General features: G+C 38.7%; 1 protein-coding gene and 1 pseudogene across 7 annotated transcripts in view; both read left to right on the top strand.

Moving 5' to 3' along the window:
* Positions 1 to 15,327, top strand: part of TPTE2 (transmembrane phosphoinositide 3-phosphatase and tensin homolog 2) — a 138,698-nt gene that overhangs the window by 86,694 nt on the left and 36,677 nt on the right. For 3 of the 7 annotated variants that reach the window (NR_073485.2, NM_001395978.1, NM_199254.3), the window contains 5 exons: positions 806 to 967; positions 7,537 to 7,656; positions 9,317 to 9,416; positions 9,563 to 9,626; positions 10,361 to 10,425. Coding sequence is in view for 4 of the 7 variants with exons in the window: in NM_001395978.1 (NP_001382907.1) it covers positions 806 to 967; positions 7,537 to 7,656; positions 9,317 to 9,416; positions 9,563 to 9,626; positions 10,361 to 10,425 (511 nt within the window). In the remaining 3 variants the exon portion in view is untranslated. The remainder of the gene's footprint in view (positions 1 to 805; positions 968 to 7,536; positions 7,657 to 9,316; positions 9,417 to 9,562; positions 9,627 to 10,360; positions 10,426 to 15,327) is intronic. The other 4 variants (NR_073487.2, NM_130785.4, NR_073486.1 and 1 more) reach the window with 2 other exon arrangements.
* On the top strand, positions 7,973 to 8,069 carry LOC124903271 (uncharacterized; annotated as a pseudogene).

Here is a 15,327-nt window from a genome sequence, read left to right as displayed (position 1 = left end):
TCTGGAAACAATTTACTTAGACTCTTCTCTACATAAGAGTACGATTTCATACTATGATATAGATTTATGCAATATAATTGTTTCCTTTTGAATTAATAATATTTGAATTTGAGCTGCAAGTTTTTAAAAAAGTACTTCAAAGGCTAATTCATCTTTATGGATTAGGCAAATAGTCTAATCAATTTATGGAGAATGTATTTGGAATATGTAACAGCAAGTGGCAGGAAGTACTTTAGAGTTCAAGACTCATGTGCCCATCACTATGCTAGAAGCACCCATAAATATGGAATCATGGACTTGTTGAAAATGTCACTGATGAAAAATCTTGGTCTTTTAAGAGCTTATGTTACTCATGCTTTCATTTGGTTTTTATTAATAAATTCTTTAGAATTATCCAGATTAATGAGGGTTTATTTTTTATGAGAAATTGGTATAAACTTCTTATGAAATTCTGAAATTTTAGGAAGAGTTTGTAAACAGACACAGGTGATTTTAATTCAGTTTTGCTTTTCTCTCTTGAGGTGTTGGTCTGATGTGTCTACTATAAAAGGCCATGATATCTTGTGAAGTGGTTTGGTGAGAATTTTGTTTATTAAGAACTGCTTCTATTGGGTGAAAACAGTGATTTTTCTGAGATTCCAAGACATTACAGTTTTTCCTGCCACTGGGCAGCTTAATACTAAATAATAACATTTTGGTACCTGATCAGTGGCTTAAATATAGTATAGCTATAGGGACAAATGCCCCTTTATCTTTGCATTTATTTATTTATTTATTTATTTATTTATTTATTTATTTATTTTAGAATATTTGGAGTTTTCCTGGTCTTACTGGATGTCACTCTCCTCCTTGCCGACCTAATTTTCACTGACAGCAAACTTTATATTCCTTTGGAGTATCGTTCTATTTCTCTAGCTATTGGCTTATTTTTTCTCATGGATGTTCTTCTTCGAGTATTTGTAGAAGGGTAAGTTTGATTATTTTTATAATGCATTAAGCTATTTTGTACTTTTATAAGAAGCACTTTGGGAGGCTGAGGTGGGAGGATCCCAAGGTCAGGAGTTCGACACAATCCTGGCCAACATGGTGAAACCCCGTCTCTATTAAAAATACAAAAATTAGCTGGGCATGGTGGTGGTTGCCTGTAATCCCAGCTACTTGGGAGGCTGAGGCAGGAGAATTGTTTGAACCTGGGAGGCAGAAGTTGCGTTGAGCTGAGATCACGCCATTGCACTCTAGCCTGGGTGACAGGGCGAGACTCCATCTCAAAAAAAAAAAAAAAAGCATTTTAAAATAATTAACAGGAGCATTCACCACAAACTGACTTAAGAGCCTTTGGGCCTTATGAGAACATTGGTGGTAGTCTGGCAGTACCCCCCATGGCCTGTGTTTGAGGTGGCCATGGATTGATGCTCCTCTGCCTTTGGACAGGGGTGGAAAGAGTGGGAGGGACTGCATCTTGTGGTTTGAGTGACAGCTCAGCCGTAGCACAATAAAACACTAGGTAGACTTTTAAAGTTTTTGATCTAGGCCCTGATTCCCAGACAGCACCTTTGGATCCACCTGGAGGCTAGGACAACTTGCCATCCTGAAGGGAAGGACACAGGCCTGGCTGTTTTTACCATGTGATGACTGTAGAGCCCCAGGGCCTTCAGCAAACTTCTGCAATAGCTAAGGAGTGGTTACAGCAGGTCTTGGGCAAGACCCAGTGCTGTGCTGGCCTCAGGTCTGACCCAATGCAGTCACAGTATTGGTGGCCACAGGGGTGCTTGTGTCACTCAACCCCAAGCTTTAGGTGCCTCAGAACAGAGAGAGAGAGAGACTCTTTGTTTGGGAGAATGTAAGGGAAGAAAACAAGAGTCTCCTTTTGGTAATGCAGAGAATTATCCTGGATCTTGTCCAAGACCATTAAGGCAGTACCACTATAAGTCTGCAAGAACCACAGAGTTTAGGAGGCTTGGGGTGCCGCCTAGAGCAGATAGAGCTTAGATCACAATATCCAAGTTCTTTCAAATATCTGGAAAGCCTTCCCAAGAAAGATGGGTACAAACAAGCCCTGACAGTGAAAACTACAATAAATACAGTGAAAACTACAATAAATGCAGTGAAAACTACAATAAATACCTAACTCTTCAATGCCTAGACACCAAAGAACATCTGCTAGCATCAACACTATCCAGGAAAACATGACCTCACCAAATGAACTAAATAAGACACCAGGAGCCAATCCTGTAGAAACAGATATATGTGACCTTTTAGACAAAGAAATCAAAATAGCTGTGTTGAGGGAACTCAAAGAAATTCAAGATAAGACAGAGAAGGAATTCATAATTCTATTAGATAAGTTTAACAAAGAAATTAAATAATTTAAAAGAATCAAGCAGAAATTCTGGAGCCAAAAAATGTAATTGGCACACCAAAGAATGCATTAGAGTCTTTTAATAGCAGAATTGATAAACCAGAAGAAAGAATTAATGAGCTTGAAGACAGGCTATTTCAAAATACATAGAGGAGACAAAGGAAAGAATAAAAAACAATGATGCATGCCTACAGGATCTAGAAAATAGCCTCAAAAGGACAAATCTAAGTGGTATTGGCCTTAAAGAGGAGGTGGGGAGTGTAGAAAGTTTATTCAAAGGGATAGTAACAGAACGTCCCAAACCTACAGAAAGATATCAATATCCAAGTACAAGAAAGTTATAAAACACCGAGCAGATGTAACTCAAAGAAGACTACCTCAAGGAATTTAATAATCACAGTCCCAAAGATCAAGGATAAAGAAAGGATCTTAAAAGCAGCAAGAGAAAAGAAACCAATAATATACGATGGAGCTACAATATATCTGGCAGCAGACTCTTTAGTAGAAACGTTTCAGGCCAGGAGAGAGTGGCATGACATATTGAAAGTGCTGAAGGAAAAAAACATTTACCCTAGAACAGTGTATCCAGTGAAAATATCCTTCAAAGTGAAGGGGAAATAAAGACTTTTCCACACAAAAGCTGAGGGATTTTGTCAACACCAGACCTGTCCTAGAAGAAATGCTAAAGGGAGTATTTCAATCAGAAAGATAAGGACATTAATGAGCAATAAGTAACAACCTGAAGGTATAAAACTCACTGGTAATAGTAGGTATACAGAAAAATGCAGAATGTTATAACATTGTAACTATGATGTATAAACTACTCTTATTCTAAGTAGAGAGACTAAACTATGAGCCAATCAAAAATATTAACTACAACTTTTCAAGACATAGATGGTATAATAAGATATAAATAGAAATAACAAAAAGTTAAATAATAGCGAGACAAATTTAAGTTGTAGGGTTTTTATTAGTTTCCTTTTTACTTGTTTGTTTATGAAAACTGTTATAAGATTAAAATAATGGATTATAAGATAGTATTTACAAGCCTCATGGTAACCTCAAACCAAAAAACATAACAGTGGATACATGAAAAATAAAAAACAAGAAACTAAATCATATCACCAGAGAAAATTACCTTCACTATTGGAAGACAGGAAGGAAAGAAGGAAGAGAAGACCCCAAAACAACCAGAAAACAAATAACAAAATAGCAGGAGTGAGTTCTTACTTATCAATGATAACACTGAGTGTCAGCAGACTAAGCTTTTCAGTCAAAAGACAGAGTGGATGAATGGATGAAAGAACAAGACACATCCAGGTGTGGTGGTTCACGCCTGTAATCCCAGCAGTTTGGGAGGCCAAGGCAGGCAGATCATGAGGTCAAGAGCTAGAGACCATCCTGGCAAACATGGTGAAACCCTGTCTCTACTAAAAATACAAAAATTAGCAGGGTGTGGTGGTGCACACCTGTAGTCCCAGCTACTCAGGAGGCTGAGGCAGGAGAATCACTTGAACCCGGGAGGCAGAGGTTGCAGTGAGCTGAGATGGTGCCACTGCACTCCAGCCTGGTGACAGAGCAAGACTCCATCTCAAAAATAAATAAATAAATAAATAAATAAATAAATAAATAAAATAAAAAGATCCATTGATCTGTTGCCTACAGGAAATACTCTTCTCCCATAAAGACACAGGTAGGCTGGAAGTGGTGGCTCACTTCTATAATCCCAGCACTTTGGGAGGCAGAGGCGGGTGGTTTACTGGAGGTCAGGAGTTCAAGACCAGCCTGGCCAATATGGTGAAACCCCGTCTGTACTAAAAATACAAAAATTAGCTGGGTGTGGTGCTGGGTGCCTGTAATTTCAGCTACTCATGAGGCTGAGGCAGGAGAATCACTTGAACCTGGGAGGCAGAGGTTGCAGTGAGCTGAGATCACACCACTGCACTCCAGCCTGGGTGACAGAGTGAGACTCAGTCTCAAAAAAAATAAAAATAAAAATAAACAAATGAAAAAACCCAAAAACCAAAACCAAAACCAAAAACATGCTAATATATCTGATAAATATTGATGCAAAAATCCTCAACAAGATACTGGAAAACTGAATTCAACAATATATGGGAAAGATCATTCATCATGACAAGTGGGATGTGTCTCTGGGATGCAAGGATGGTTCAACATTTGCAAATCAATCAATGCGATACATTATATCCACACAATAAAGGATAAAAACCGTAAGATCATTTCAGTTGATGCCAAAAATGCATTTGATAAAATTCAACATCCCTTCATAGTAAACACCCTAAAAAAACTGGGTATAGAAGTAGCACACCTAAACATAATAAAAACCATATATGACAGACCCACAGTCAGTACCGTACTGAATGGGGAAAAAATGAAAAGCTTTTCTCTGTGATCTAGAACACAATGAGGATGCCCACTTTTACCACTGTTGTTCAACATAGTACCGGAAGTCCTAGCTAGAGCCATTATAGAAGAGAAAGAAAGGGAATAAAAAAAGAAATCCAAATTGGGATGGAAGAAGTAAAATTATCCTTGTGTTTGCAGATGATACATTTTATTTGGAAAATACTAAAGACTCCACAAAGAAAACTATTAGAACTGATAAATTCAGTAAAGTTGCAGGATACAAAATCAATATACAAAAATCAGTAGCATTTCTATATGTCAACCGTGAACCATTTGGAAAGGACATTTAAAAAGTGGTCCTATATGCAATAGCCACAAATAAAATTAAATACCTAGAAATTAACCTAACCAAAGAAGTGTAAGATCTTTATAATGAAAATGATAAAACACTGATGAAAGAAATTGAAGAGGACACCAAGAAATGGAAAGAGATTCCATTTCATGGATTGGAAGAATCAATATTGTTAAAATGTCCATACTATCCAAAGCAATTTACAGATTCAATGCACTCCTTGTCAAAATATGAATGACATTCTTCACAGAAATAGAAGAAACAATCTTAAAATTTATATGGAGCCTCAAAAGACCCAGAATAGCCAAAACTATTCTAAGCAAAAAGAACAAAGCTGGAGGAATCACATTACCTGACTTCAAATTATACTACAGAACTATATAACCAAAACACCATGGCACTGGCATAAAAACAGACACATAGACCACTGGAACAGAATAGAGAACCCAGAAACAAATCCACACACACTTACAGTGAACTCATTTTTAGTAAATGTGCCAAGAGCATACATTGAACAAAAGACGTCTCTTCAACAAACGGTTCTGGGGAAAACTGGATATACACATACAGAAGAATGCACCTAGACCCCTACCTCTCACCGTATACAAAAATCAAATCAACATGGATTAAAGACTTAAATCTAAGACCTCAATGAAACTACTATACTACAAGAGAACATTGGGAAGAATCTCCAGGACATTGGTCTGAGCAAAAATTACTTGGGCTATACCTGACAAGCACAGGCAACCAAAGCAAAAATGGGCAAATGGGATCACATCAAGTTAAAAAACTGCTTCGTAGCAGAAGAAACAATTAGCAAAGTGAAGAGGCAGCCCACAGAATGGGAGAAAATATTTGCAAACTACCGATCTGAAAAGGGATTAATAACCAGAATATGTAAGGAGCTCAAACAACTCTCTAGGAAAAAATCTAATAATCTAATTTTTTAAATGAGCATAAGATTTGAATAGGCATTTCTCAGAAGAAAACATAAAGATGGTAAACAGGCATATCAAGAGATGCTTAACATCATTGATCATTAGAGAAATTCGCAGTGTAGAAAACTACCATGAGATATCATCTCACCCCAGCTAAAATGGTTTATATCCAAAAGTCAGGCAATAACAAATCCTGCCAAAGATGTGAAGATAAGAGAACCCTCATACACTGTTCATGGAAATGTAAATTAGTAGAATCAATTGGAGAACAGTTTGCAGGTTCCTCAAAAAACTAAAAATAGAACTACCATATGATCCAGCAATCCCACTGCTGGGTAGATACCCACAAGAAAGGAAATCAGTATATAGAAGAGATATCTGCATTCCCTGTTTGTTGCAGCACTGTTCATAATGGCTAAGATTTGGAAGCAGCCTAAGTGTCCATCAACAGATGAATGGATAAAGAAAATATAGTACATATACACAAGAGAGTATTATTTAGCCATAAAAAACAATAAGATCCTGGCCAAGTGCAATGGCTCATGCCTGTAATCCCAGCACTTTGGGAGGCTGAGGTGGGCAGATCACCTGAAGTCGGGAGTTCGAGACTAGCCTGACCAACATGGAGAAACCCCATCTCTACTAAAAATACAAAAATTAGCTGGGTGTGGTGTCGGTCGCCTGTAATCCCAGCTACTCGTGAGGCTGAGGCAGGAGAATCGCTTGAACCTGGGAGGTGGAGGTTGCAGTGAGCCGAGATCACGCCATTGCACTCCAGCCTGGGCAGCTGAGTGAAACTCCATCTCAAAAAAAAAAAAAAAAAAAAAAAAAAAAAAAAAGAGATCCTGTCATTTGGAACAACATGGATGGAACTAGAGATCACTATGTTTGTTAAGTGAAATAAGCCAGGCACAGAAGGATAAACATCACATGTTCTCACTTATTATGGGGCTCTAAAAAAAAAAAAAAAGCAATTGAATTCATAGACCTAGAGAGTAGAAAGATGATCATCAGAGGCTGGGAATGGTAGTAGGGGCTTGGGGGTGGGGAGGTGGGGATGGCTAATGGGTACAAAAAAATAGAATGAGTAACGCCTACTATTTGATAGCACAACAGATTGACCATAGTCAACAATAACTTGATTGTATATTTTTAAATGACTGAAAGAGTGTAATTGGATTGTTTGTAACGTGAATGATAAATGCTTGAGGGGATAGATACCCCATTGTCCACAATAAGGGTGATTATTACACATTTAGTTATATCTCTTATTATGTTTGAATTGCCATGTTGGTGTTTTAGTCACATATAAATGTCAAATGATGAATATAATTTTATTGTTTGAAAACTTCCCATGAATGTTATGTTTTTCCCTTAGTCTACTCTAGAAAATACATTTTAAATAATTCATGATAGTAGAATTCTTAATGGGGATGAGTCAGTAGTTTGTGGTCTTTAAATATTCCTGTCTCTTCTTGCAGAGGGAAATGAACTTTTTTTTTTTTTTTTTTATATTACAGGAGACAGCAGTATTTTTCTGACTTATTTAACATTTTAGATACTGCCATTATTGTGATTCCTCTGCTGGTTGATGTCATTTACATTTTTTTTGACATTAAGTTGCTTAGGAATATTCCCAGGTATGAAACATAAGACTTACCTCTCTTAAAGTTTTTCATTACTTTTAGCATTTTCTGTGGCTTTTATTCTATATAATCTTTTCAACTTCAAATGTTCTCATCTATACCAAATACATTGCTTTAAAATGAAATGTTTGGGTAAATGCCCACATACTTTGAAACTAAAAGATTGTGATATTTAGGGACCAGTGAAGAATATACACGCTAAGTACCATTAATGGAATAAAGAAGATGGCAGTACCCAAAGAAGGACTTTTACTCTTGTACTAACTTTAACTTCTCTACATTTTGAAGTTCTCATCGAATTCCCATTTGTATCATTTTTTGGCCTTTTGGCTAAGATCAAGTATAATATTCTTATCAGTTTAATATCTGCTATATCAAAAAAACTTATATTGAAAACAATTCCCCTCTGTGCTTCAACTACAAATCCCTTACACATAATGTTCTGTCTGGATTTTTCCTACAGCCAAGAGGGAATTTATTTGAGCATATGCAAAATTTGAGTGATTTCAATCATGAGTTTCTAAAAAATAGCAAACAGAACAGAAACTAGGAGATGACACATGTAGCAACACAATAGTAGAGTTTTGCAGTATAGTTGTGGTAGAAACAAAGAAAGCTTAGGCAAAGTTAGAACTGTTAGGGATTAGGAAAACTTAACAGTGTATGAGGCCCTGGTGACTCTTTTTCTTTTTTTACTGTGACAATGAGGAAAATGAAAGAGCAAATGTATACTGGGATGTAGATGGTGGCTTCCTAAGCTTGTTCATGGGTCAAATAGCTGATTTCTTTTTGTACCCTAGCTTCCCTGGACTACAGCTCAGGCCCCAACTAAAAGCATGTTAAGTGATTGGCTTTTGGAGTTATTTGAAAATAACCTCAGCCAATGTGGTTCTCTGACTAGAAACCTCAGCATCACTTGACAGCTTGCTAGAAATATAAGAAGAAAAATACCTTAGGCCCCACCCTGGACCCACTGAATCAGTATCTCTGGGACCCAGCAATCTGCAGCTTAACAAGCTTTTCCAGGTGGCTCTTATTGACATGTGCCCAAATCAGAGAAGCACTAGTCCAGACCATCAGTTCTCTGCTTTGGTGGTTCTGATGGCAGGAGAGATACCAGCTAGCACACTTTGGAAGTATCTCAATCTGTTGCCTGCCTGATGTGCATTAGCAGCTGTAGTGAACATCTGTTACTCATGGGAATAACAAAGATGAACAAGAATAATCGATTTGTTTTGATGTGGAAAAATTGAAAATGCTAGTCTTAAATCCCAAAATTAAATTTACAAATGCTAAGAGTCTATCGTATCACTATTTCTCTAGACCAGAATTTCTCAGCCTCAGCATTACCAACATTTTGGGCCAGATCATTGTCATAAGAGGGTGGTGAGCAGTTATATTAATTGTAGGGTGTTTAGCAAAATTCCTGGCCTCTATTCACTAGATGTAAGTAACACACAGACACAAACACACATGCACACACGCAAGTTGTGAAAACCTAAATGCCTCCAGACATTGCCAAATATCCCCCAGGTAGGTAATTGGGGAGAGGAGGGAAAATTGCCTCTGGTTAACAACTGCTGCTCTAGACATAGTTTATATTGATAAAATTCTGTTTCTGAAGCAAAAATGGATCTTTTAAATTTATTGTTAGATGGACACATTTAGTTCGACTTCTACGACTTATTATTCTGATAAGAATTTTTCATCTGCTTCATCAAAAAAGACAACTTGAAAAGCTGATGAGAAGGCTGGTAAGTGGGCAAAACATGCTTATGATTCAGAAAAATATTTTGTGTTTTGGGACCCATTGGCAAGGGTTGATATCTATACTGTATAATGTTTTTTATTTTTATGTTGATGAATGTTTCACAAACTAATGATGATTTTAAACTCTCAGGTTTCAGAAAACAAAAGGCGATACACAAGGGATGGATTTGACCTAGACCTCACTTACGTTACAGGTTTGTGACACTTAATGGTTGATTTACTTGTATTACTTCACTTTTTCTTGTAATTGTATTTTTTTGCCTCATCTAAGACACATTCATTCAAAATATTCTTTATTCTTGAGAATATATGCCACTGTGATAGTGTGACATATTTGTGGTTTAGCCCTGGCAATGGAAGATCTGCATGTCTTCTCAATTCAGGACTACTCAGTTGCAGCATAGGAACTTGAATGGATTTTCAGCTGACTCCATTTGAGTTTCAATTTATTAACCTCTTGTAGTTATTTCTGAGTCCCAAGGATCCCACAGAGACCTCTTCTCATCCTAGAACCCCAGAGAATGAGGTCAGTGTTTTGTAGATCTCAGGTTTTCTGAGTCAGAGGGCTGCAAAGCACCTTGGGAGTTCCCACCGTCACTGGTGCCCAGAAATCTTGGATTTTCTCTGGTATTTAAGATAAGAAATAAATTCTAAGAACAGGGGGAACTTCAGACTGAGGCCATCATAAGTACATGGCATACAGTTAGAACTAGTGGAGACTTAAGAACTCCATGCCAGTTTAATGGTCATTGTGTTGGATAATTTAATATGTTATTTGATTATCCTGAGTATTAGCTCTTTTCTGTCAACCTCAATTTTAAAAGTTTTTTTTCTGTGAAAATGGAGTCTGATCATGTATAAATTAATTTTTTTTGTGTTATATGAAATCTATAATAATGTTTGTAATAGTGATGATTTTGACTTTCAGAACGTATTATTGCTATGTCATTTCCATCTTCTGGAAGGCAGTCTTTCTATAGAAATCCAATTGAGGTAAGGGTCTTTATCTGACAAATACTCATTTCTCAGTGAATGTAGACTGTGTAGTCATAAGTTTAATATTGACCCAGATATGGCAGTATTCTTTTAAAAATGTACTCTTTCAAGTAAAAAAATCATAATGGATTGATACCAGTTACAATTGTGCCAGTGGTTACAAACCACCCCAAAACTTACTGGCTTATAACAGCAACTATTTATTTGGCTCATGATACTGTGGTTTGTGAATTTGGTATGGGCTTAACTGTCCAATTCAGGTGCTTGCAGAAAGGATTTCCTGTCTCAACTAAGCTCATTCATGTATCTGTGGGCAGCTACTGGGTCATCTGAGGACTGGCTAGTCTAAAATGGCTTGGCTACCCTCAACTGACAGAGCCACTGCATGCTACGTGCACCCCCCCGAGGCCCAAGGCCCATCCCATCTGGCACCCACTGCTGCCAACAGCCCCACCCCCTTCACCAGCAGAGCCACCATATGCTGCATGCACTTCTAAGGCACTGAGGACTGGCCTACCTGGTGCCCACCCTGCTGTTGGCAATACCCCACAGCTAGCAAAGCCACTGCAGCTAGCATGCATATGCCTAAGGCCTGAGAACTAATCTGAATGATGGCTCTCATACCAAGAAAAGCCATACCACTGTCTCCACAAACCCTCACCATCAGGCCACTGAGGCAGTCACAGACACCACTGAATGCTGATTACAGCCAAAAAAGTCACCTGAAGATTATATTACTGCACCCACCCAGAACCAAAGTCAAAGCACCCTACTCAATGAACACTATAGGAGACAACTATTGGAAAAAGTATTTCTCTATGAAAGCTCTCTAACATTGGAAGAGGCAACAGTTTCCCCAGATGTGCAAAAATCAGTTTAGGGCCACAAGAAACATGAAAAGCAAGGAAACATTACACCTCCAAAGAAATACAATAATTCCCCATTAACAGACCCTAAATTTAAAGAGTATATCAAATGGCTAAGAAGGAATTCAAAATAATGATCTTCAGGAAACTATGAGATACAGAGAATACAGATAGACAAATCAATGAAATTAGAAAAACAATTTATGATCTTATGGGAAATTCAACAAGGATATATATGTCATTAAAAACCAGACAGAGATTGTGGAGCTGAAGAATTTAAGGAATAAAATAAAAATACAATCAAGAGTCCAGGTGCAGTGGTTCACACCTGTTATCCCAGCACTTTGGGAGGCCAAGGCAGTGGATCACTTGAGGCCAGGAGTTCAAGACAAGCCTGATGAACATGGCAAAATCCTGTCTCTAAAAAATACAAAAATTAGTTGGGTTTGGTGGTGCATGCTTGCCATCCAAGCTACGTGGGAGGCTGAGACACGAGAATTGCTTGAATCCAGGAGGTAGAGGTTGCAGTGAGCCAAGATTGTGCCACTGCACTCCAGCCTGGGTGGCAGAGTGATACCCTGTCTGAAAAAAAAAAATACAATCAAGAGCTTTAAAAACAGACATGGGAGAGATATGGCCAAAATCTAGGAAGCTCGAAGGTTCTCAAATAGATTCAACCCAAAAAGGTCTTCTCTGAGGTGCATAGTAGTCAAACTGTCAAAAGTCAAAAAGAGGGAATATTCGTCAGGTGCAGTGGCTCACACCTGTAATCCCAGCACTTTGGGAGGCTGAGGAGGGTGGATCACTTGAGGCCAGGAGTTCAAGGCGAGCATGGCCAACATGAAGAAACCACATTTCTACAAACAATAGAAAAAAATTAGCTAGGTGTGGTGGCGTGAACCTGTAGTTCCAGTTACTTGGGAGGCTAAATCACGAGAATTGCTTAAACCCAGGAGGTGGAGGTTGCAGTGGGCCAAGATCACACCACTGCACTACAGCCTGGGTGACAGAGCAAGATTGTATCCAAAAAAATTAAAAAAAAAAAAAAGGAAATGTTAAAAACAGCAAGAAAAAAGCATCAAGTCACATATAAGAGAAACTCCATTTGATTAACAGTGGATTTCCCAGTGGAAACTTTACAGGTCAGTAGACAATAAGATGGGATGATATATTCACAAAGTACTGAAGGAAAAAAAAAACTGTCAACCAAGAATACTATACCTAGTAGAGCTATCCCCTAGAAATGAGGGAGAAATAAAGTATTTCCTAGACAAGCAAAAACTGAAGGAATTCATTCCCACTAGACTGACCTTTCAAGGACTGCTTTAAGGTGGTTCTACATCTGGAAGCAAGAGGATGATTACCATTGTCAAAACACACAAAAGTATAAAACTCACTGGTAGTACAGATATACACCTGAGAAAGAGAAAGGAATCAAACTTTGTTGCTACAGAAAATGACCAAACCACAAAGATTAAAAAAAAATAGGTGAAGAAAAGAACAAAGGATATACAAAACAACCAGAAAAAAATGAACAAAATGACAGGATAAAGCCTCATCTATTAATAGTAACCTTGAATGTAATGTAAACAGATCAAATTCCCAATTAAAAGATATAGAGTTGGCTGCCAAGATTTAAAAAAAAAAAAAAAAGACCCAACTGTATGCTGCCTACAAGAAACTAACTTCACCTGTAAAGGTTCATACAGACTGGAAGTGAAGGGATAGAAGAAAATATTCCAGGCAAACAGAAACCAAAAGCGAGCAGAGGTAGCCATACTTATCAGATAAAAACAGACTTTAAGTCAAACTGTATGAAGAGACAAAGAAAGTCATTTTATAATAATAAAGAGATCAACTTAGCAATAAGATATAATAATTGTAAATATATATGTACCCAACACTAGAGCACTCAGATAAACAAGGCAAATATTTTTAGGTCAAAAGGGAAAGATAGACTCCAATGCAATAACAGTTGGGGCCTTTAACACCCCACTCTTACCACCGGACAGATCATCTAGACAGAAAATCAACAAAGAAATATGAGATTTAAGCTTACAGATAGGAAAAAGTTCTGGTGTTCTGTAGTGCTGTAGGGTGACTATAGTTAACAATAATTTATTGTATATTTTTACGTAGAGAGGATGTTGAGTGTTCCCAACACAAAGAATGATAAATATTTGAGGTGACAGATATGCTGACTATCCTGATTTGATCATTACACATTGTATGCAAGTATTGAGATATCCCTGTGTACCTCATAAATATGAACAAGTATTATGTGTCAGTTAAAAATATTTTTAAAGAATGAAGGAAACAGATTTTTTAAATGAAAGGAAAGAAAATTACCTGACTTGGCTGAATGGCCCCATGTGGTCTCTCATTCTCCAGTAGGCTACTTCAGGCCTGTTCACGTGACGGCAGAGGCAAGAGTCCCAGGAGCGGCAACAAAACAATGCAAATCCTCTTCAGGCCCAGGCTCAAAATTATATATTACTTCTACCCCATTTTATTGGACAATGCAAATTACACTACCAGTCTGGATTCAAGGAGTAGAAAATAAACTCCAACTCTTGATGGAAGGAACTATAAAGAATTGTGGCAGTTTTTGATAGTCTACCATAGGGAAGAAAGATGGGGATGCTATAACCCAAAATGTGTATTCTTAGGTTGAGATCCTAAATTATAGTCAGGGCATATGGCTTTAGGCTCTGTGGATGACTAAATTAATTTCAAACATATAATGCCGTTTACTGTGAAATGCCAGCTGAAAGGATCATTGTTTAATTTAATATAAATTACAATACTTATTATACCTCAATAAAAATATAACTATCAAGGGCTGGCATCAGTTGCCGAGAGGTGGAAGGAGTACCTCTCTGCAGTTTGTTAGCTCAGTTCTGAACAGGACAGGCCTGCAAGTTCAGCTACTTCCCAGAAAATGTCCTGGATCCCTGGCCTGAGTCATCATCCCATGACTAGAGAACATGGATGGATTATTTTGTCAAGAAACTGGTGATAAACCAAGGGCTATAGGAATTAAGAACTAGGGCTAAAAAAGAAATGTTTAGAGTGATGCAAGATGGCCAATTAGAAGCAGCTGCAGTCTGCCGCGCTCACAAAGAGGAATGAAAAGGGGCGAGGGAATTCAGCACCTTCAACTGAGATAACCAGGTTGTCACATTGGGACTGACTGGATGAACAGGTCGACCAATGGAGAATGAAGACAAGCAGGCAGAGGGTGCGATGGCCCAGCCGGGGGCGGCATGGAGCCAAAGGAAACCCGACTCCCAGCCAAGGGAAGCAGTGAGTGTGCAGTCCTGCCCAGGAAACCATGCTTCTCTCATGGATCTTTGCAAGCCATGGATCAAGAGATCCCCTTGTGAGCCCATGTCACCAGGGCTGCGGGTCTGATACACAGACCTGTATGGAGTCTGGGCACATCAGCTGCTCAGGCACACACAGAAACCCAGGAGTTTTACACACTGTAGCCGGGGATCTTCAGCACAGTGGGAAATCTGTCCATATGTATCTCTGGGAAGTGGGCTGAATCCAGGGAGCCAGGCAGCATCATTCTGCAGGCCCCATTTCCATGGCACCTCACAAGTTAAGACCCACTGGCTTGGAATACTAGCCTGCCAACAGCAGCGGGTTGGAATCCACCTCAGATGGGTCTGAGTTCCCGGGGAGGTGGGGAGAGGCAGCCAGCATCACTGTGGTTCATAGACTCAGCCACTCCAGCCTGCCAGCTATGGAGAATACAGACAATCTGGACAAGGAAGAGTTCCCCACAACACAGCACAGCTGGCTTGCCAGATCATGACCAGACTGCTTCTTTAAGCAGGACCCCAATCCATTCCTCCTCACTGGGCAGGAATCCCCGCGGGGGCTTTAACCACTGCAGCAACGGTTCTATGGACAGAGCTTTGATCTCTCCCTGAAATGGAGCTCCTGGCGGGAGGGGCAGCTGCCATCTCTGCAGTTTGGTCAACTCAGCCACTCCAACCTGCTGGCTTTGGAGAATACAGGTGGT

This window comes from Homo sapiens, chromosome 13, assembly GCF_000001405.40.
Source record: "Homo sapiens chromosome 13, GRCh38.p14 Primary Assembly".
Classification (NCBI taxonomy): Eukaryota; Metazoa; Chordata; class Mammalia; order Primates; family Hominidae; genus Homo; species Homo sapiens.
The sequence above is the reverse complement of the archived record's forward strand: the minus strand, read 5'-3'. Positions and strand labels throughout refer to the sequence as shown.